At 49.2% G+C, this 23,123-nt stretch overlaps 6 annotated features.

Annotated features, from left to right (window-relative positions):
* Positions 6,099 to 6,218: an enhancer, noted in NCBI's record as "active region_10658". NCBI's record gives its function as "activates an Ori minimal core promoter by ATAC-STARR-seq in GM12878 lymphoblastoid cells {active_cell/tissue: GM12878}" and the evidence as "EXISTENCE:reporter gene assay evidence [ECO:0000049][PMID:35858748]".
* Positions 6,339 to 6,398: an enhancer, noted in NCBI's record as "active region_10659". NCBI's record gives its function as "activates an Ori minimal core promoter by ATAC-STARR-seq in GM12878 lymphoblastoid cells {active_cell/tissue: GM12878}" and the evidence as "EXISTENCE:reporter gene assay evidence [ECO:0000049][PMID:35858748]".
* Positions 7,355 to 7,624: an enhancer, noted in NCBI's record as "active region_10660". NCBI's record gives its function as "activates an Ori minimal core promoter by ATAC-STARR-seq in GM12878 lymphoblastoid cells {active_cell/tissue: GM12878}" and the evidence as "EXISTENCE:reporter gene assay evidence [ECO:0000049][PMID:35858748]".
* Positions 8,522 to 8,816: an enhancer, noted in NCBI's record as "tiled region #12377; HepG2 Activating DNase unmatched - State 5:Enh, and K562 Activating DNase matched - State 5:Enh". NCBI's record gives its function as "activates a minimal TATA promoter and a strong SV40 promoter by Sharpr-MPRA in HepG2 and K562 cells {active_cell/tissue: HepG2 | K562}" and the evidence as "EXISTENCE:reporter gene assay evidence [ECO:0000049][PMID:27701403]".
* Positions 16,407 to 16,456: an enhancer, noted in NCBI's record as "active region_10661". NCBI's record gives its function as "activates an Ori minimal core promoter by ATAC-STARR-seq in GM12878 lymphoblastoid cells {active_cell/tissue: GM12878}" and the evidence as "EXISTENCE:reporter gene assay evidence [ECO:0000049][PMID:35858748]".
* Positions 16,467 to 16,596: an enhancer, noted in NCBI's record as "active region_10662". NCBI's record gives its function as "activates an Ori minimal core promoter by ATAC-STARR-seq in GM12878 lymphoblastoid cells {active_cell/tissue: GM12878}" and the evidence as "EXISTENCE:reporter gene assay evidence [ECO:0000049][PMID:35858748]".

The raw sequence follows: 23,123 nt of genomic DNA on the forward strand, positions 1-23,123 counted from the left end.
CTTGGAGTCAGCGCTCTCCACCTGCAGGCCTTGGGGTGCCCCTCTCCATGGCACAGTGCCAGGTGCAGCCTCCCAGGAGCTTCCTTCTCCTGACACGTGGGGCTCAGCCATAAGCATCGCTCACTGAGGCCTCTGGCTCTGCCTCACAGAGTCATGGCTGCCATCCCCAGGTCCAGGTAGTGCTGGGAGTCTGCCTTTTAACGAGCTCCCCAGGGGTTCTGATGTGGGTGGCTTCTCCTGTGTCTAAGCACTTTGTCACTAACAGATTTCCATCAACAGCTGCTACAAATGTGGTACCTATTCCACACGTTTTCATTGAAAGGAGCACAGTGTGCTCCTGGGATGGCTGGGCAAGGCTGGAAGGCGCCAGCAGAACTGGAGCACTGATCACGAATTCGCGGTGGCCCGAGTGCCTCCCGTAGCTGTGGAGGAGCCTCGTGTCACCCGCCTTGCTCATGTCACCTCCCACTGTGGCAAAAGCCAGGAAAACACTGAGCGCATGACAAATGCCTTGGGGAGCTTGACAGTGCTGACTCCTGGTGGTTTCCTGACACCAAAAGTACTTGGGCTGGGCGTGGTGGCTCACACCTGTAGTCCTAGCACTTTGGGAGGCCGAGATGGGCGGATCACTTGAGGTCAGGAGTTAGAGACCAGCCTGGCCAAGGTGGTGAAACCCATCTCTACTAAAAATACAAAAATTAGCTGGGTGTGGTGGCGGGCGCCTGTAATCCCAGCTACTCAGGAGGCTGAGGCAGGAGAATTGCTTGAACCTGGGAGGTGGAGGTTGCAGTGAGCTGAGAACGTGCCACTGCACTCCAGCCTGGGCGACAGAGTGAGACTCAGTCTCAAAAAAAAAAAAAAAAAAAAAAGTACTCATAGTTGGAGGCACCAAGGTGTAAACTGGAAAATGGAAAATGGATTTGGCTTTGGTCCAGTCAGGGGCTAGGCAAGTGCTGGACCAAGCCACAGAGCTGCTCACTGCCCCTCTTCACTCAAAATCTCAGTGTTGGTCTGGAGCAACCTCGGAGTCATATCTAGTTTTAAAATTCTACCATTATGAGCAAGTCTTCTAGTCTCCTTAAATATACACAGATGAATTACATCTCAATTTTTAAAAATACACAGAAAGAGTGCTTCACACAATAAGCACATTAAATCACTTTGTTAGGCCAGGCACAGTGGCTCACGCCTGTAATCCTAACACTTTGGGAGGCCAAGGCAGGTGTATCACTTGAGGTCAGGTGTTCGAAACCAGCCTGGCCAACATGCTAAAACCTCGTCTTTACTAAAAATACAAAAAATTAGCCAGGTGTGTTGGTGGGCGCCTATAATCCCAGCTACTCGGGAGGCTGAGGCAGGAGAATTGCTTGAACCCGGGAGGCAGAACTTGCAGAGAGCCGAGATCATACCACCGCACTCCAGCCTGGGCGACAGAGCAAGACTCCGTCTTGAGAGAAAAAAAGAAAGAGGCCAGGCGCCGTGGCTCACGCTTGTAATCCCAGAACTTTGGGAGGCTGAGGCGGGTGGATCACAAGGTCAGGACATCAAGACCAGCCTGGCCAACATGGTAAAACCCCATCTCTACTAAAAATACAAAAAATTAGCCAGATGTGGTGGCACGTGCCTGTAATCCTAGCTACTCAGGAGGCTGAGGCAGGAGAATTGCTTGAACCTAGGAGGTGGAGGTTGCAGTGAGCCAAGATTGCATCACTACTCTCCAGCCTGGGCAACAGAGTGAGACCCCGTCTCAAAAATAAATAAATAAGGCCGGGCGCAGTGGCTGACACCTGTAATCCCAGCACTTTGGGAGGCCGAGGTGGGCGGATCACCTGAGGTCAGGAGTTCGAGATCAGCCTGGCCAACATGATGAAACCCCGTCTCTACTAAAAATAAAAAATTAGCTGGGTGTGGTGGCATGCACTTGTAGTCCCAGCTACTTGGGAGGCTGAGGCAGGAGAATTGCTTGAACATAGGAAGCGAAGGTTGCACTGAGCCAAGATCGTGCCACTGCACTCCACCCTGGGCAACAGAGTGAGACTCTGTCTCAAAAAATAATAATAATAAATAATAAATAAATAAAATAAAATAAAGTCTACTCTTACTCTTAAAAAAAAAAAAAGAAAAAAGGCCAGGCATGGAGGCTCACGCCTGTAATCCCAGCACTTTGGGAGGCCAGGGCGGGCATATCACGAGGTCAGGAGATCGAGACCATCCTGGCCAACATGGTGAAACCCTGTCTCACCGGGTGCGGTGGCTCACGCCTGTAATCCCAGCACTTTGGGAGGCCGAGGCGGGTGGATCATGAGGTCAGGAGTTCGAGACCAGCCTGGCCAAGATGGTGAAACCCCGTCTCTACTAAAAATACAAAAATTAGCCGGGCGTGGTGGCACACACCTGTAGTCCCAGCTACTTGGGAGGCTGAGGCAGGAGAATCGCTTGAACCTGGGAGGCAGAGGTTGCGGTGAGCCGAGATTGTGCCATTGCACTCCAGTCTGGGTGACAAGAGTGAAACTCCATCTGGAAAAAAAAAAAAAAAAGAAACCCTGTCTCTACTAAAAATACAAAAATTAGCTGGGCATGGTGGCATGTGCCTGTAATCCCAGCTACTCAGGAGGCTGAGGCAGGAGAATCGCTTGAACCAGGGGAGTTGGAGGCTGTGGTGAGCCGAGATCGCGCCACTGCACTCCAGCCTGGCGAAAGAGCGAGACTCCATCTCAAAAAAAAAAAAAAAAAAAAAAAGAGGCCAAGCGCAGTGGCTCAGGCCTGTAATCCCAGCACTTTGGGAGGCCAAGGCGGGTGGATCACGAGGTCAGGAGATTGAGACCATCCTGGCCAACATGGTGAAACCCCGTCTCTACTAAAAATGCCAAAATTAGCTGGGCATGGTGGTACGTGCCTGTAATCCCAGCTACTCGGGAGGCTGAGGCAGGAAAATCGCTTGAACCAGGGAGTCAGAGGTTGCAGTGGGCCAAGATTGCTTCATTGCACTCCATCCTGGCAACAGAGCGAGACTCTGTCTCAAAAAAAAAGGAAATCTTCCTGCCTCAGCTCCTGAGTAGCTGGGATTACAGATGTAAGCTACCACATCTGGCTCCAATTTAAGTATCCACATGTGGCTAGTTGTTATCTATTGGAACACGCAGTTCTGGAGGCTTTAATATAGGGACTCCTTATGGAGAAATGGATATGGTTAAAGGAGGCTACAAGGAATGCTGAAGCCCTAAGAGACTAGCAACTATTGGAGCCTGTTACTGCTTCTAGGACTGATGGGGTAACAGGCAGAAACTGTGTTACCGAAACTCATTAAAACCTGGGGATGTAGAAGGGGCCACCTGACAGGTGCTGCAGATGTGGGTGGGGAGATGAAGCCACTGCCAGAGATGTGAGGCACAGCAGGAAGGGAGCAGAATAGAAATGTCCTGACTGTCCTCCCCCTTGGAGCTCCAGCCAGTCCTCCCTTTAGCTAAACTCAAGTGAAATCCAGGCCGGGTGCGGTGGCTCACCCCTGTAATCCCAGCACTTTGGGAGGTCCAGGCGGGAGTTCGAGACCAGCCTGGCCAACATGGCAAAACCCTGTCTCTATTTAAAAATACAAAAAAATTAGTTGGGCGTGGTGGAGGGCACCTGTAATCCCAGCTATTTGAGAGGCTGAGACAGAAGAATTGCTTGAACCGGGGAGGCGGAGGTTGCAGCGAGCCAAGATCCTGCCACTGCACTCCAGCCTGGGCAACAGATCGTGACTCCATCTCAAAACAAAACAAAACAAAACAAAAAACAGAGGGTGGGGGAGCCTCCAGGGCAGAGGGTAGGGCTGAGAATAGGTCTGGGAGTGAGGGTAGATGATGACCAGCCCAGAGCCACAAACCCCAAAACATCACCTCTGAACCCCAGGGCTCTGAGGAACCCTGTCTGAAACCACTTCCTAGGTGGGACACATCCAACTGAACGGAAACAGAACTGAACAGATACGAGGGTGGGGGGACCCCTGGAGGTCCCTTCTGAGGGATCTTTGCTTAGTTCTGTTCTGTTCCTTTCTTTTTTCTTTTCTTCTTTCCTTTTCCTTTCCTTTTCTTTCTTTCTCTTTCTCTCTCTCTTCCTTTCCTCTTTCCTTTTTTTTTTTTTTTTTTAACCGAGTCTCGCTCTGTCACCCAGGCTGGAGAGTACAGTGGCATGATCTCGGCTCACTGCAACCTCCGCCTACCGGGTTCAAATGATTCTCCTGCCTCAGCCTCCCAAGTAGCTGGGATTACGGGTGCCTGCCACCAAGTCCAGCTAATTTTTGTATTTTTAGTAGAGACAGGATTTTGCCAAGTTGGCAAGGCTGGTCTCGAACTCCTGACCTCAGGTGATCTGCTCACCTTGGCCTCCCAAAGTGCTGGGATTATAGGCATGAGCCACCTCGCCTGGCCTTTACTGAGTTCTTAAAGGCTGAGACAGGAAAAGAAAAATAGTAAACTCTGTGCGTAATTTCACTATTTTCTTGTTTAACTTTATGACTGTCCTGGAGAGGGCAGCATCATTACCTTTAATTTAGAGCTGGGACAGGGACAGTCTGTGACACTTATCTTGATATTGAGGAATGGAGTCAGTCCTCCAATGGAGGGAGGCCGATTGAGGTGTGATACTGAGTGCCCCATCAGTTGTTCAAGGGCTGGGGCAGATCTAATATTGTGTCTGTACTGGCTGATACTTAGGTGGCCAGGGCCCCAGCTTTGGAAACCTGTGATGGCTGCTACCACCTCTGGCTTTGCTAGGCGCACACATCTGCCCAGACTCAATGTATTGCAAACCCATGCAACCTCCAGGCCCACACTGAGAATCAAGAATTGTGGACTCTTGATTCTCCAAATCTTCTCAAAAGCCCAGCTGCTGGCTGGGTACAGTGGCTCACATCTGTAATCCCAGCACTTTGGGAGGACGAGGCGGGCGGATCACTTGAGGTTAGGAGTTCAAGATCAGCATGGCCAATGTGGTGAAACCCCATGTCTACTAAAAATACAAAAATTACCTGGGCATGGTGGCAGGCACCTGTAGTTCCAGCTACTTGGGAGGCTGAGGCAGGAGAATCGCTTGAACCCGGGAGACGGAGGTTGCAGTGAGCCGAGATCGTACCACTGCACTCCAGCCTTGGTGACAGGGCGAGACTCTCTCTCAAGGCTTGAGGGCTGAGTGAACACTCCTTAACTATTTCCAGTTATAGCCACGGGTCGACTTAGATCAACAGAAGTCTGTATGGATTACTCTAATAGAGTGCAAAAAGATCTGAACTAGGACCTCATTGTGAATTCGGATCCTACCCCTTACCAGCTGTGTGACCGTGGGCAAGACACAGAATCTCTGAGCTGTCACTGCCCTCTCTGTAAGTGAAGTGGCACCCACTTCTTATGTCTGTGTTGGTCCTCTTCTCCTAATTGACACTCACTCGTTTTTCGTTGTTTTTTTTTTGAGACGGAGTGTCGCTCTGTCGCCCAGACTGGAGTGCAGTGGCACGATCTTGGCTCACTGCAAGCTCCGCCTCCTGGGTTCATGCAATTCTCCTGCCTCAGCCTCCTGAGTAGCTGGGACTACAGGCGCTCGCCACCACGCCTGGCTAATTTTTCGTATTTTTAGTAGAGACGGGGTTTCACCGTGTTAGCCAGGATGGTCTCGATCTCCCGACCTCGTGATCTGCCCGCCTCAGCCTCCCAAAGTGCTGGGATTACAGGCGTGAGCCATGGCGCCTGGCCACTCTTTTTTTTTTTTTTTTTTTTAACTTTGAGATAGAATCTTGTTCTGTCACCCAGGTTGAAGTGCAGTGGCATAATCCTATCTCACTCCAAACTCAAACTCCTGGGTTACAGCAATCCTCCCACTTCAGCCTCCCAAGTAGCTGGGACCACAGGCACATGCCCCCCTGCCTGGCTAATTTTTAAAATTTTAAGTAGAGATAGGGTCTCACCGTGTTGCCTAGGCTGGTCTCAAACTCCTGGGCTCAAGTGATCCTCCCACCTTGGCCTCCAAAAGTGTTAGGGTTACAGGCATGAGCCATGGTGCCTGGTGACACTCACTCTTGAGTTGAGCTCACACAGACCCCTGGCTTTAAATATCATCCAAATGTTGATGTCCCCCAAGTTTTCATCTTCACTGCAGACCTCTTCTGTGAGCTTCAGAACTGCTCACTTGAAACTTCCCCTTGGGTGTCTGACAGGCAACACAAACTTAACATGTCCCAACATGAACTTTTTTTTTTTGAGACAGAATCTTGCTCTGTTGCCCAGGCTGGAGTGCAGTGGCCTGATCTTGGCTCACTGCAAACTCCGCCTCCCAGGTTCAAGTGATTCTCCTGCCTCAGCCTCCCGAGTAGCTGAGATTACAGGCACGTGCCACCACACCCGGCAAATTTTTTGTATTTTTAGTACAGACAGGGTTTCACCCTGTTGGCCAAGCTGGTTTCAAACTCCTGAGCTCAAGCGATCTGCCTGCCTCTGCCTCCCAAAGTGGTAGGATTACAAGTGTGAGCCACCGTGCCCGGGCCCAAAATGAACTCTTTATCTTCTCCCCCATACCTGCTCCTCCTGCAGCCTTCCCATATCAGAATACAACAATTCTATTCTTACAGTTGGTGTGGCCGAAAACCTTGGTGTTGTCCTCAATCCTCTCTCACACATCCCCAAATCCAATCTGTCAAGAAACCCTGGTGATCACTTGAGCCCAGGAGTTTGAGACCAACCTGGGCAGCATAGCAAGACCCTGTCTCTACAAAAAATACAAAAATCAGCGGCAGGGCGCAGTGGCTTACGCCTGTAATCCCAGCACTTTGGGAGGCTGAGGCAGGCAGATCACAAGGTCAAGAGATCAAGACAATCCTGGCCAACATGGTGAAACCCCGTCTCTACTAAAAATACAAAAATTAGCTGGGCATGGTGGCACGTGCCTGTAGTCTCAGCTACTTGGGAGGCTGAAGCAGGAGAATTGCTTGAACCAGGGAGGCAGAGGTTGCAGTGAGCCAAGATCGTGCCACTACCCTCCAGCCTGGTGACAGAGCAAGACTCTGTATCAAAAAAAAAAAAAAAAAAAAAAAAAAAAGCTGGGCATGATGGCACACACCTGTGGTCCCAGCCACTCAGGAGGCTAAGGTGGGAGGGTCGCTTCAGCCCAGAAGTTGGAGGCCGCAGTGAGCCATAATTGCACCAGTGTACTCCAGTCTGGGCCACAGAATAAAACTCTGTCTCTAGAAAACAGAACAAAACAAAGTTGAAGCTCTCTAAACTCTCCACACTGACTCAGAGTGAAAGTGCTAATAATGACCTAAAGCCGTGCCCTATGGCCCCCTTTCCTCTTGACTTCGCTTTTCATGCACTCTGCTCCAGCCATACTGGCCTCCTTGGGCTTCCCAGAACACGCGAAGCAGGACCCAGGTTAGGGCCTTTGAACTGGCTTTGTTTGTCCGTGGGATTCCCCATGAACATCTCATGGCTGCTCCCTCTCTTCCCTCAAGTCTCCCCTCAGATGTCCCCTTCTCAGAGACATCAGCCTGTAGAAAGGAGCACTTCCTTCCCCCACTTTCCTGCGTGATGTTTCTCCATGATGCCTGCTTCCTACATATGTAGAGTCTGTCTCACTCCGGAGAAGGCTACCTCCAAGAGGACAGGTGACTGGCCCTTGATTTCATTAATTGTCACAATCCTATGCCGGACACATGGTTGGTGTTCAACAAATATTTGCGGAATTAAAGAACAAATTAATAATGTTGTGAGATAAATACTCTGTGCCCATTTTTCTTTACTTTTTAATATATTTTTTAAATCTAGAGAGACAGGGTCTCCCTATGGTCCCCAGGATGGCCTCAAAACTCCTCCTGCCTTGGCCTCCTTGGCTGGGATTACTGGACTACTACTGTGCCACCATGCCTGGCTCTTCTTTTCCTTTTACTATGCCCATTTTAAAGGTGAGGAAAACTGAGACTCAGAAATGTTCCCAAGGGCACACAGTGAGTGGTGGCTGCCTTCAGGTTGGTCTGACTCCAGTGCCCAAGCCTTTCTCAGGAGTGGTGTGTTGCCCATCAGCCATTATATCCATGACATCAACTGGCATAAGATATGTTCTTATATGAAAATTAATTTTAGAAGTGAGTGTCACGAAATATTGACCTTCTCTAAGGAACTAGTTCTTATAGTCAAAAAGGAGGAACTTATGTAAATTTTCCCTTTCAGGGCCAGCCCCAGGAAGTTCAGAGCCTAATGTGGTGTTCATTCTATTAATTTTTTCTTACCCTGGGACTTTTTTCTTTCTTTCATTTATGTTAACCTAATCACCAGCTGCTTCCTGTTCCTTAGGAAATAGCTAAGTCGTACATGACACTTTTGGGGTTCCAGTGTGCCCGGCATGGGTTTTCTTTCATTGGGCAGGCACTAGGTGGGCTTTTCAGCCTGAAGACGCATGTTTCTCATCAGAGTGAGAATGATCTCTGATCATTCTCCTTCTTCCATTTCTTGGGTTCTCTCTTCCTGGCACTCCTATTGGTTAGCTTTTGGGCCTCTTGGATTGCCTGGCTGTGTCTCTGTGGCAAAGACTACTCATTATCCAAAATCCAATGAGCCCTTCTTCCCCAAGAACATGGTGGAACTGCATGTCCCAGCCTCCCTTGCAGTAGGCATGGTCATGTGACTAAGTTTCCACCAATAGAATGTGAGGAGGTGATGTATGTGACTTCTGGTCTTTGGCCTTAGGAAGTAGGCCAGCTTCATACTCTCCATTCCTGCTGGCTGGAGATCCCCACAACAGATTCAAACGTGCAGGTGACAAACGGTGCCCTACCGATGGCAGAAAAGTGATGAGGAAGGGCCCTTGGTCCCTGAGCAATGAGAGAAGCAGAGCTGCCTCCCTAACTACCACCATTTCACTTGAACATGTCTCTTCTTTTGTTTATTTATTTATTTGTTTTTTGCAGACACGTCTCTTCTTTTTTTTTTTTGAGATAGAGTCTCACTCTGTCCCAGGCTGGAGTGCTGTGGCACAATCTCGGCTCACTGCAACCTCTGCCTTCTGGGTTCAAGTGATTCTCCTGCTTCAGCCTCCCAAGTAGCTGGGATTACAGGCATGCGCCACCATGCCTGGCTAATTTTTGTATTTTTAGTAGAGACGGGGTTGGCCAGGATGGTCTCACACTACTGACCTCATGATCCACCCACCTTGGCCTCCCAAAGTGCTGGGATTACAGGTGTGAGCAACTGCGCCCGGCCGACACGTCTCTTCTTTAAGCCGCCACTTATTGGATCTCTATGTTAGAGCGGCAGTCTCATATATTTTCTCTCATATTTTCTTCTCCACCCCTACACCTTCTGGGAGTTCTATTTTCTGGGATAATTAATTAATTAATCAATTTTTGAGATGGGGTCTCACTCTGTCCCAGGCTGGAGTGCAGTGGAGCGATCTTGGCTCACTGCAACCTCTGCCTCCTGGGTTCAAGCTATTCTCCTGCCTCAGCTTCCTGTCTCAAACTCCTGACCTCGTGATCCACCTGCCTTGGCCTCCCAAAGTGCTGGGATTACAGGCGTGAGCCACCGCGCCCAGCTTTATTTATTTTTTAAATTTTTTATTCTTGAGACAGAGTCTCACTCTGTCACCCAGGGTGGAGTGCAGTGGCATAATCTTGGCTCATGGCAACCTCCGCCTCCCGGGTTCAAGCGATTTTCCTGCCTCAGCCTCCCAAGTAGCTGGGATTACAGACGCCTGCCACCACACCTGGCTAATTTTTGTATTTTTAGTAGATGGGGTTTTGCTACGTTGGCCAGGCTGATCTCGAACTCCTGACCTCAGGTGATCCGCCTGCCTTGGTCTCCCAAAGTGCTGGGATTACAGGCATGATCCACCACACCTGGCAGTTTTCTGGGATAATTTATTAACTTTTTATTACAACACTTCCTGTTTGTGTTTGTACAGATGAGGCCTTGCTATATTACCCAGGCTGGTCTTGAACTTCTGGCCTCAAGCCATTCTCCTTGGCCTCCCAAACTGCAGGAATTACAGGAGTGAGCTACTGTGCCCAGCTTCTTTATTCTAATGCTTTTAGTAATTCAGTATCATAGCTTTAATTTCTAAGAATTCAGTCTTTGCTCTATTTATTTATTTATTTGAGATGGAGTCTCACTCTGTCGCCCAGGCTGGAGTGCAGTGGTGTGATCTTGGCTCACTGCAACCTCCTCCTCCTGGGTTCAAGCGATCCTCCTGCCTCAGCTCCCAGAATAGCTGGGACTACAGGTGCCTGCCACCACACCCGGCTAAATTTTTTTTTGTATTTTTAGTAGAGACAGGGTTTCACCTTGTTGGTCAGGCTGGTCTCGAACTCCTGTCCTTAGGTGATCCACCTGCCTCAGCCTCCCAAAGTGCTGGGATTACAGGCGTGAGCCACTGTGCCTGGCCTCTTTCTTTTTTATAACACCCTGTTTTTATTGTAACATAGTGTAGCAATTTTTTTTTTCTTTGAGATGGAGCCTTGCTCTGTCGCCCAGCTGGAGTGCAGTAGTGGATCTCGGTTTAACTGCAACGTCCGCCTCCCGGGCTCAAATGATTCTCCTGCCTCAGCCTCCCGAGTAGCTGGGATTATAGGCACCTGCCACTGTGCCCAGCTAATTTTTGTATTTTTAGTAGAGACAGCGATTCACCATGTTGGCCAGGCTGGTTCGAACCCCTGACCCCAGGTGATCAGCCCACCTCGGCCTCCAAAATGCTGGGATTACAGGTGTGAGCCACTGCACCTGGCCAGCAATATCTTTTTTTTTTTTTTTTTTTTTTTTTTGGGGAAAGAGTCTTGCTCTGTCGCCCAGGCTGGAGTGCAGTGGCGCGATCTCGGCTCACTGCAAGCTCCGCCTCCTGGGTTCATGCCATTCTCCTGCCTCAGCCTCCCGAGTAGCTGGGACTACAGGCGCCCGCCATCACGCCTGGCTAATTTTTTTGTATTTTTAGTAGAGACGGGGTTTCACCATGTTAGCCAGAATGGACTCGATCTTCTGATCTCATGATCCACCTGCCTCTGCCTCCCAAAGTGCTGGGATTACAGGCGTGAGCCACCGTGCCTGGCCCATCTTTTTTTTTTTTTTTAATATGGGGTCTTGCTCTGTCACCCAGGCCAGAGTGCAGTGGCATGAGCACAGCTCACTGCAGCCTCAAATACCCAGGCTCAAGTGATCCTCCCACCTCAGCCTCCAGAGCAGCTGAAATTACAGGCACGTGCTACCACGCCCTGCCCAGCTAATTTTTTTTTGGAAGCAGCACCTTCATTTATTAGGGACTTCGGTGGGGATGGGGAAAGGCGGCCCCCGGGTCAGAGGCGCCGGAAGAAGAGCTTGGAGCCGTGGTCTAACGTGCACTCGCTGGGGCCCAGCTGGCTCCCGCCCAGCTCTTTTTTTTTTTTTTTTTTTTTTTTTTTGAGATGGAGTCTCACTCTGTCGCCCAGACTGGAGTGCAGTGGCGCAATCTTGGCTCACTGCAACCTCTGCCTCCCGGGTTTAAGCGATTCTCCTGCCTCAGCCTCGAGTAGCTGGGATTACAGGCACCCGCCACCACACCTGGATAATTTTTGTGTTTTTAGTAGAGATGAGGTTTCACCATGTTGGCCAGGCTGGTCTCGAACTCCTGACCTCAGGTGATCCACCTGCCTCGGCCTCCCAAAGTGCTGGGATTACAGGCATGAGCTACTGTGCCCAGCCCCGCCCAGCTAATTTTTTAATTTTTTGTAGAGACAGGATCTCACTATGTTGCCAGGGCTGGTTTCAAACTCCTGGTCTCAAGCGATCCTCCCGCTTTGGCCTCCCAAAGTGCTGGGATTACAGGGGTGAGCCTCGTGCCTGGCCTGAAGCAGCATTTTCTCAAATGTCTTTAAAAATACCAGATTTTTTTTTTTCTTTTTCTTTTTTTCTTTTCTTTTCTTTTCTTTTCTTTTCTTTTTTTTTTTAAGACGGAATCTCGCTCTGTCGCCCAGGCGGGAGTGCAATGGCGCGATCTCACTGCAAGCTCACTGCAAGCTCCGCCTCTCGGGTTCATGCCATTCTCCTGCCTCAGCCTCCTGGTAGCTGGGACTACAGGCGCCCGCCACCACGCCCGGCTAATTTTTTTTGTATTTTTAGTAGAGATGGGGTTTCACCATGTTAGCCAGAATGGACTCCATCTCCTAACCTCATGATCCACCTGCCTCTGCCTCCCAAAGTGCTGGGATTACAGGCGTGAGCGATCGCACCCAGCCTCTTTTTCTTTACGTAAATTCTGTTTCCTCCAGGATTACTTTTCTTTTCTTTTTCTTTTTTTTTTAAATTTTTTTGAATGTACTTAGGATGCATTTGGCTACAAATAACTAAACATCCGACTTACAGGAAGCTCACAGAAGGGGGTGGCTGGGATTCAGGGCCCCTTGATCAGGCATTTGCGATGCCTTGGGATCCCATGCTCTTCCTCCCATTCCTCCTCTGCAATCCTGCAATGTTTCCATCCTGGGGCCAGTTCCTCTCAGAGTTACAGGATGTATCCTTAATCATGGCTTGTGGGAGGCAGAAGTTACTGCCCCCGGGTTCTCTTTTAATTAAAAGGAAGAAGCCTTTCTTAGAAGCCTCCCTTCCTTTTATCTTAGTGGCTAGAACTGGGGCATGTACCCTTTCCTAATGCAATCGTGGGCAGAAGGGGAGTGGTTACTTTAGACTGGTCAGACTTTGCTGGAGCTGAAGAAGGAAGGGGTCAGTGCCCAGGATGTGTATGCTGGTGGGCACCTGAACAAACTGGGGTACTTTTAGGAAAGAAGGAGGCAGAATGGATGATGGGGTTGGTTTATCTTGGTGCTTTCCTTTCATGTTGCAGGGTTTCTTTGAATGTTGTTGATATTTCTTCCAGGCGTGACGGCTCATGCCTGTAATCCCAGCAGTTTGGGAGGCCGAGGTGGGTGGAATCTCTTGCGCTCAGGAGTTCCAGACCAGCCTGGGCAATATAGGGAGACCTCTGTCTCTACAAAAATTAGCCAGGCGTAGCGGTGTGCACCTCCCAGTTTTGCTGGGAGGATTACTTGAGCCCAGGAAGTTGAGTTGAGGCTGTAGTGAGCTGTGGTCTCACCACTGTATTCCAGCCTGGGTGACAGAGTAAAACCCTGTCTCAAAAAAAAAAAAAAAAAAAAGGTTGATATTTCTTTCAAGTCCCATCATACTTCAGAGTGAGCCAATAAGAGGCTGACTGGGGCTTTTGGTACCAGAGTAGAGCTTTCCAACTTGAGGGTTGGACTTTCATATCAAGTGTGAGAATAAACTAAAGACCTATTTAGGTGCAAGATTACTTTGGGCACGGTGGCTCACGCCTGTAATCCCAGCACTTTGGGAGGCTGAGGGGTGACGATCACCTGAGGTCAGTAGTTCGAGACCAGCCTGGCCAACATGGCGAGACCCCGTCTCTACTAAAAATACAAAAATTAGCCAGGCATGGTGGCGCCTGCCTGTAATCCCACCTACTAGGGAGGCTGAGGCAGGAGGATCGCTTGAACCTGGGAGGCAGAGTTTGCAGTGAGCCGATATTGCCCCACTGCACCCCAGCCTAGGTGACAGAGTGAGACAAAAAAAAAAAGCAAAGTTCACCTTTTTATTAGGGAGCTTTCTTTGGATGTGACTTGAAAATGTGCTCCTGCAAAATTAAGAGGGTAAATCACAAAAGAGAAGGGTGCAGACTACAGGAAATAGGAGATCCCACCCAAGAGAGAAATAACCACTGGTCCCAAGATGTAGCAGTGTAGCAACAGGGAGTGGGAGGGGAGAAGGAAGGTCACACTGGAGCAAGGAATTAGTGAAGCAATTAGAAACTCTAGGTAAAATTAAAAGAGATGTATTGTAGTAAATTTACTATGATACATTATCGTAGTAAATATCGCTAAAATTTTATATATATATATAAATATATATATTTATATAATATAACTGAACAATAGTTATATAATGCTTTTTTTTTTTTTCTGAGGTGGCATCTTGCTCTGTTGCCCAGGCTGGAGTACAATGGCACGATCTCAGCTCACTGCAACCTCCGCCTCCTGGGTTCAAGCGATCCTCCTGCCTCAGCCCCCCTAGTAGCTGGGATTACAGGCACGCGCCACCATGCCCAGCTAATTTTTTTATTTTTAGTAGAGATGGGGTTTCACCATGTTGGCCAGGCTGGTCTCGAACTCCTGACCTCAGGTGATCCACCCGCCTCGGCCTCCCAAAGTGCTGTTATTACAGACGTGAGCCACCGTGCTAGGCATTTTTTTTTTTTTTTTTTTAGAGACATGGTCTCCCTTTGTCACCCAGGCTGCAGTGCAGTGGTATCATCATAGCTCACTGCAGTCTTGAACTTCTGGGCTCAAGTGATTGTCCCGTCTCAGCCTCCTGAGTAGCTGTAAGTACAGGCATGTGCTACCATGCCTGGCTACTTTTTTTCTTTTTTTCTGTACAGATGGCACCTTGCTATGTTGCCCCAGCTGGTCTTGAACTCCTGACCTCAAGTGATCCTCCTGCCTTGGCCTCTCAAAGTGCTGGGATTACAGACATGAGGCACCACATCCAGCCCCATAATCTTAAAAACAAAGAAAATTAATAGTTTTCCATTTTAGACTCAAACTCTGGACCAGACAGCACTGATCTTGACTATCTGAGGTGATAGAAATAGCCTTTATCTGTGTTATTTGATTTGATAGCTACTAGCCACATGTGGTTTCTGAACACACTTGAAATGTAACTAGCTAGTTGCAACTGAGGGAACTAGGTTTTAAATCTCATTAAATTTTAATTAAGTTAAAGTAGTCTCCTGTGGCCAGTGGCTTCTACATTAGGCAATGCAGCTCTAAGCAAGATGAAAGAGAGAATGCCAATATTATCTACATTTAACAACATAAAAGTAAATGTACAGGTAACAGAAATGAGCAGAAGAGAGATAAAGGAAAGCCACTATCTTCATGTCACAAAGTGATAAGAATTTAGGCCAGAAGCTGTGGCTCATGCCTGTAATCTCAGTACTTTTGGAGGCCGAGGCAAGGAGGATCGCTTGAGCCCAGGAATTCAAGACCAGCCTGGGCAACATAATGAGATCCCTGTCTCTACAAAAAAAATTAAAAATTAGCTGGGCATGATGGTGCACACCTGTAGTCCCAGCTACTCAGGAGGCTGAGGTAGGATTGCTTGGGCCCAGGAGTTCGAGGGTGCTCATCTCTTTAAAAATAAGTAAATAGGTCAGGTGAGGTGGCTCATGCCTATAATCCCAGCACTTTGAGAGGCTAAGGTGGACGGATTGCTTGAGCCCAGGAAATTGATCTCAGCCTGGGCAACAGCGAAACAATGTCTCTACAATAAATATAAAAAGTAACCAGGTGCATGCCGGGCGCGGTGGCTCACGCCTATAATCCCAGCACTTTGGGAGGCCAAGGCAGGGTGGATCACAAGGTCAGGAGATCGAGACCATCCTGGCGAACACGGTGAAACCCTGTCTCTACTAAAAATACAAAAAATTAGCCGGGCATGGTGGCGGGTGCTTGTAGTCCCAGCTACTCGGGAGGCTGAGGCAGGAGAATGGCGTGAACCTGGGAGGCGGAGCTTGCAGTGAGCCGAGATCGCGCCACTGCACTCCAGCCTGGGTGACAGAGCGAGACTCCGTCTCAAAAAAAAAAAAGTAACCAGGTGCGGTGGCACACACCTGTAGTTCCAGCTACTTGGAGGCTGAGGTGGGAGGATCACTGGAGCCCAAGGTTGCAGTAAGCTGAGATCAGGCCACTGCACTCTAGCCTGGGCGAAAGAGTGAGACCCTGTCTCAAAACAAAACAACAACAATAATAAAACTCATACATAACTACGTAAATAAAGTTACAAAAGCAACTTTAGTTCGTTACAAAGGACCTGAAGAGAGGGATTTAACTGACCTGCAAGGTGGAATGGGGCTGGAGCAGGGCCAGTGGGTCAGACACCTATGATTATGCCAGGCAAAATGGATACATGAAGAAATAAAGTTATAGCATCTCCATGTAGTAATAGAAAAAAAAAAGGAATAACGAAATTAGCACACTTTTTGGGAATGTGGACCCACCAGTAGAATTGAGACTAGAAAAAGTTAAAAGCATTAGAAGTGTTCTCTTTCTGAGATCATGACTTGTTGGGGAAAGGGAAGACTTATTGTTCATGACAAACACTTCTGTGCTTATAACATGCATTAGCTTAGGAAACAGCACTTTTCTTTTTCTCTTTTTTTTTTTTTTTTTTTTTTTTTGAGACAAGGTCTTGCTCTGTCGCCCAGGCTGGAATGCATGTTGCGATCTCGGCTCACTGCAACCTCTGCCTCCTGGGCTCAAGCGATCCTTCCACCTTGGCCTCCCAAGGCGCTGGGCGCTGGGATTACAGGCATGGGCCACCGTGCCCGGCCTGGTGCTTTTCAGTGAATAAATAAGTATGTAAACTTCTCTTTTCTGACTAGACGGAAATTCCCCAGAGGACAAGGGTGGCGTGACTTGTCAGTCCTTTTCATTGACAGCGCTGTGGATGGGAAGAAAGGGCCCCTGGTCCCAAGCAAGCCCCAGTCCTGTGGCCCTGGAGGATCAGAAGGGTAATTAAGTGTCAAAGGAAAACATAGCCAGACATGAGTTACTGTGGTGAAAACAGATTTTATTCAGTAACTACTCGTGGTAGGAGAAAGAGCTGAGCTCCATTCTGATTTGTGCAGAGGTGATTTAGGCATTTAATTAGTTAATTAGTTTTTGTGGGACAGGGTCTCGATCTGTTGCCCAGGCTTGTGATTGTGCCTGTTGCTCAGATTGTGCAGTGGCACAATCATGGCTCACTGCAGCCTCGAACTCCCAGGCTCAAGTGATCCTCCTACCTCAGCCTCCTGAGTTAGCTGGGACCCACAGGCGTATGCCACTGCACCTGGCTTTTTTTTTTTTTTTTTTTTTTTTTTGAAACAGAGTCTCGCTCTGTTGCCCAGGCTGGAATGCAGTGGCATGATCTTGGCTCACTGCAACCACCACCTCCTGGGTTCAAGCAATTCTCCTGCCTCGGTCTCCTAAGTAGCTGGGATTACAGGCGCGTGCCACAATACCCAGCTAGTTTTAGTTTGTTTTTTATTTATTTATTTTTTTTAGTAGAAACGACGTTTCACCATGTTGGCCAGGCTGGTCTCGAACTCCTGACCTCAGGTGATCCACCCACCTCGGCCTCCCAAAATGCTGGGATTACAGGAGTGAGCCACCGCACCAGTGTCTCTCTCTTATAACACCAGCTAGTCCTTATCAGGCTTTGACTGTGGGCCCCTCACCTGTCTAACTTATCCTTCCCAGGAACTTTGAAGAATACTATTATTATTCCTATTTTGCAAATGAAGAAACTGAGGCAGATTAAATGCCTGACCCAAGGCCATCCAGACGGCAGGCGATGCAGGCAGGAGTCAAGCTCAGGTACCCCTCCCCTTCTGTGGCTTCCCTGCCTCCAGGCTTCTGCCAGCCCCTGTCTACCTTGGTGTAGGAGCGGCCCCTCAAAGACCTGCAGGGAGCCGGGCACGGTGGCGCACGCCTATAATCTCAGCACTTTGGGAGGCTGAGGTGGGCGTATCATGAAACCCTGTCTCTACTAAAAATACAGAAATTAGCCGGGTGTAGTGGTGGGCACCTATGATCCCAGCTACTCAGAAGGCTGAGGCAGGAGGAACGCTTGAGAACCCCAGAGGCGGAGGTTGCAGTGAGCCAAGATCGAGCCACTGCACTCCAGCCTGGACGACAGAGCGAGACTCCATCTCAAAAAAAAAAAAAACCTGTAGAGGGAAGGAGGAACTGGGGCCTGGGGAGGGCAGAGCTATTATCTCAGGAGAAGCAGGCAAACCTCTGGTGACCTCTGATGACCTCAGGGCAGGATGGGCAGGCCTTCACAACAGCTCCAGGCACACCCAGCCTCCCGTCCCTGGCCTCATCACTCCCCTCTCTGCCCTCCACCCTTTGGCCTCCTTGCCTTTGTCCACAGTTCTGCAGCCTGATACCCTCTTCCTTGTCTCAACCAGAGAAGTCTTCAGTCAATAAACGTCATCCAATGCCTACTGTGTGTCAAGCACTTCCTGGGTGCTGGGGCACTGTGCAAGCACACACGCACAGCTGTGAGGCCATGGGGCTGGCATTCCAGTGTGGGGAGAGCGACGGAAGCAAAATAAGAAAGTCCATTACATGGCGCATTTGAAGGCGCGAAGTGCTATGGGGAGAAAGCAAGGAGGGGGGTTACAGTCCAGAGGGAGGGGGGTGCGATTTTTTTTTTTTTTCCAGACGGAGTCTTGCTCTGTCACCCAGGCTGGAGTGCAGTGGCGTGATCTTGCAAACTCCGCCGCCTGGGTTCACGCCATTCTTCTGCCTCAGCCTCCTGAGTAGCTGGGACTGCAGGCACCCGCCACCATGTCCGGCTAATTTTTTGTATTTTTAGTATAGACAGGGTTTCACCGTGTTAGCCAGGATGGTCTTGATCTCCTGACCTTGTGATCCACCTGCCTCAGCCTCCCAAAGTGCTGGGATTACAGGCATGAGCCACCGCGCCCACCCGGGGGTGAGATTTTAAATACAATGGCCAGCTGGGCTCCGTGGCACACACCTGTAATTCCAGCACTTTGGGAGACCGAGGTGGGAGGCTCACTTGAGTCTAGGAGTTTGAAACAAGCCTGGGCAACAAAGCAAGATCCCATCTGTATGAAAAATTTAAAAATTAGGCCGGGCATGGTGGCTCATACCTGTAATCCCAGCACTTTGGGAGGCCGAGGAGGGCAGATCACTTGAGCTCAGGAGTCCGAGACCAGCCTGGCCAACATGGTGAAACACTGTCTCTACTAAAAATACAAAAAAATTGCTGGGCGTGGTGGCTCACGCTTGTAATCCCAGCACTTTGGGAGGCCGAGGCAGGTGGATCACCTGAGGTCAGGAGTTCAAGACCAGTCTGGCCAACATGGTGAAACCCTGTCTCTACTAAAAATAGAAAATTAGATGGGCTTGGTGGTGGGCACCTGTATTCCCAGCTACTCAGGAGGCTGAGGCAGGAGAATAGCTTAAATCCAGGAGGCGGAGGTTGCCGTGAGCCGAGATCGAACCATTGTGCTCCAGCCTGGGCAACGAGAGTGTGAAACTCCATCTCAAAAATAAAAATAAAAATACAAAAAATTAGCCGGGCATGGTGGCGCGCACCTGTAATCCCAGCTACTCGGGAGACTGAGGCGGGAGAATTGCTGGAACTCGGGAGGCGGAGTTGCAGTGAACCAAGATTGTGCCACTGCACTCCAGCCTGGGAGACAGAGCGAGACTCCATCTCAAAAAATAAAAAATTAAAATTAAAAGTTAGACTGGTGTGGTGGCATGTGCCTGTAGTCCCAGCTACTTGGGAGGCCAAGGCGGGAGGATCTCTTGAGCCCAGGAGGTCGAGGCTGCAGTGAGCCATGATTGTGCCAATGCACTCAAGCCTGGGTGACAGAGTGAGACCCTGTGTCTAAAACAAACAAATAAGTAAGTAAATAGGTTGGCCAGGCAAAGCCATCCTGAGAAGGTGACATTTGAGCAAAGACTGAGAAAGCAGCCAAGCAACATCTGGGTGGGGAGCCCTGGGGCAGCCACCACAGATGGCGCAAAGGCCCTGGGCTTGCTTTCTCCAGGGACACATCAGAGGTCCGGGTGGCAAGGGCGTGGATGGCAGGGCCATGGGTGGAAGGGCAGAAGCAACGTGGATAAGAGAGGTAGGCAGGGGTCAGATCGGATGTGGCCAACTTGGCTTCTACCCTGAGTGGGGTGGGAGTGGTCTCAGGGCTCCAAGCAGAGGAGGGGTGGGGTCAGATGTTTCATCTGGGTCCCTCTGGCTGCTGTGTGGAAAACAGCCCGGAGGAGGATGAGATCTCACACAGGGAGACCAGAGCTGAGATGACTGCACCAGTCCAGGCCAGAGAAGACAGAGGCTCAGGCCAGTAGGCAGCAGTGACGGGGCGAAGAGGGATCAGATTCTGGATCTTTCTCTCTCTCTCTCTCTCTTTTTTTTTTTTTTTTTTTTTTTTTTTTTTACAGACAAGGTATCACTGTGTTACCCAGGGTGGAGTACAGTGGCGAAATCATAGCTCACTGCAGCCTTGAACTCCTGAACTCAAGCGATCCCTTCTCCTGAGTCTCCCAAAGTCCTGGGATTACAGGAGTGAGCCACTGTGCCCAGGGCAGGTTATACATTTTTTTTGGGAACACCACAGAAGCCAAGCACAGTGGCTCATGCCTGTAATCCCAGGACTTCTGGAGGCGAAGATGAGAGGATTGCTTGAGCCCAGGAGTTCAAGACCAGTCTGGGCAACACAGCAAGAACCCATCTCTAAAAAAAAAGGAATACTGCTGGGCACGGTGGCTCATGCCTGTAATTCCAGCACTTTGGGAGGCTGAGGTGGGTGGATCACCTGAGATTAGGAGTACGAGACCAGCCTGGCTAACATGGCGAAACCCCATCCCTAATAAAAATACAAAAATTAGCTGGGCATGGTGGCAGGGACCTGTAATCCCAGCTATTCAGGAGGCTGAGGCAGGAGAATTGCTTGAACCCAGGAGGCGGAGGTTGCAGTGAGCCGAGATCACATCACTGCACTCCAGCCAGGGTGACCATGCCCAGCCAACTATGTAAATATCCTATACACACACACTCTTCTGATTTCACCAATGGTTTTAACACTCACTCTTACCTGAATCCATTATTATTATATTGGTTATGTTTATCATTTTTTAAATTCTACATTCCTTTTACAATTGTTAGCTTTCCTACAGTAAAATAACTTTCCAGTGGCCGGGCACAGTGGCTCATGCCTGTAATCCCAGCACTTTGGGAGGCCGAGGCAGGTGAATCACGAGGTCAGGAGTTCGAGATCAGCCTGGCCAACATGGTGAAACCACATCTCTACTAATAATGCAAAAATTAGCCAAACGTGGTGGTGCGCACCTGTAATCCTAGCTACCTGGGAGGCTGAGGGAGGAGAGTTGCTTGAAACTAAGAGGCGGAGGTTGCAGTGAGCCGAGATTGCATCACTGCACTCCAGCCTGAGCGACAGAGCAAGACTACATCTCAGAAAAAATAAAACAAAAACAAAAAAAACTTCCATACTGTCCTACCTCCCTTCCCTGCTCCCTCCCTCCTTCTCTTTGTCTCTAATATTTTCAGAATCAGTATGAACTCATTTTCTTTTCTTTTTTTTTTTTTTCCAAGACAAATTCTCACTCTTTTGCCGAGGCTGGAGTGCAGTGGCATGATCTCAGCTCATTGCAACCTCTGCCTCCCAGGTTCAAGCGATTCTCCTGCCTCAGCCTCCCGAGTAGCTGGGACTACCGGCGCCCATCACCACACCTGGCTAATTTTTTGGTAATTTTTAGTAGAAACGGAGTTTCACCATGTTGGTCAGGCTGGTCTCGAACTCCTGACCTCAGGTGATCCTCCCGTCTCGGCCTCCCAAAGTGCTGGGATTACAGGCATGAGCCACTGCGCCCAGCCTCTTTTTTTCTTTTAATTAAAACAATTAAATAGAGATGGGGTTCTCTGTCTGTTGCCCAGGTTGGTCTTCAACTCCTGGGCTCAAGCAATCCTCCTGTCTCGGGCTCCCGAAGTGCTGGGATTACAGGAGTGAGTCACCACGCCCAGCCTAAGTATTGCTCTTCTGTGATGATTTGCAGGCAACAATCACCTCTTGTTCATATTTTCATTATCTTTCCCTCCACCCCGAGCCTATAGTCTGTCTTGGTCAGACCCCATTTCTTGAGTGCACCAGGCTGGAGTTTGGACCCATCCACATCCTCGCAGCTCTCCTGAGTTGGGGCCCAACATCTGGCTTGGGGAACAGACAGCTTTGCCGACAGCAGTAACAATTTGGTTGAAATGATAACTTTGTCAAAAATGAATTTTGCCTTAGTGTTTTTTTAAAGGTTGAGAATCTTGTACATTCTTACAACATTTCTATTTTCTACAGTTAAAAAACTGTAGGCTGGGTGCAGTGACTCACTCCTGTAATCCCAGCACTTTGGGAGGCCAAGGTGGGTGGATTGCTTGAGTCCAAGGGTTCGAGACCAGCTAGGCAACATAGCAAAATATTAGCTAGGTGTGGTAGCTACTCGGGAGGTTGAGGCAGGAGAATTGCTTGAACCCAGGAGGCAGAGGTTGCAGTGAGCCAAGATCATGCCACTGCACTCCAGCCTGGGCAAGAGAGCTAGATTGTCTCAAAAAAAAAAAAAAGTAAGTTCCAATTACTTTGCAGCCAATTATTCTTGCTCTTCTATTTGCAATAGCAGAAGATTGAAATAGCCTCCTAGATGTCTGACAGTGGAATGGGTTCTTTTCTTTTTCTTTTTTGGTAGAGATGAGGGTCTCACTATGTGGCCAGGCAAGCCTTGAACTCCTGGCCTCAAGTGATCCTCCCGCCTCTGGAGGCAGGAGGTAGGGTACAGTCCCAGACTCAAAGCACTGGGATTACAGGAGTGAACCACTGCGTGAGCCTGGTTTCTTTTCTTTCCCCTCCCTCCCTTCCTTCCTTCCTTCCTTCCATCCGTCCTTCCTTCCTTCCCTCCTTCTCTCCTCTTTCACTCTACCTCTTTCTTTTCTTCTTTTTTCTGGCTTGTTAAAACAGAAATACATAATAATTATAGTGAAATAAACTAGGGTATTTACTGCAGCAGTTAGTAATAATGAAATGTTGGAAAACAATCTAATGTTCATCCGTAGGGAATATTTAAAATATAGTGTATTTCTGCCGGGCGCGGTGGCTCACGCCTGTAATCCCAGCACTTTGGGAGGCCGAGGCAGGTGGATCATGAGGTCAGGAGATCGAGACCACGGTGAAACCCTGTCTCTACTAAAAATACAAAAAAGTTAGCCGGGCTTCGTGGCGGGCGCCTGTAGTCCCAGCTACTCGGGAGGCTGAGGCAGGAGAATGGCTTGAACCCGGGAGGCGGAGCTTGCAGTGAGCAGAAATCGCGCCACTGCACTCCAGCCTGGGCGACACTGTGAGACTCCATCTCAAAAAAATAAATTAATTAAAAATAAATAAATAAATAAAATATAGTGTATTTCTGGCCGGGCGCGGTGGCTCACTCATGTAATCCCGGCACTTTGGGATGCTGAGGCTGGCAGATCACAAGA

This window comes from Homo sapiens, chromosome 16 (assembly GCF_000001405.40).
Source record: "Homo sapiens chromosome 16, GRCh38.p14 Primary Assembly".
NCBI classification, from domain to species: Eukaryota; Metazoa; Chordata; class Mammalia; order Primates; family Hominidae; genus Homo; species Homo sapiens.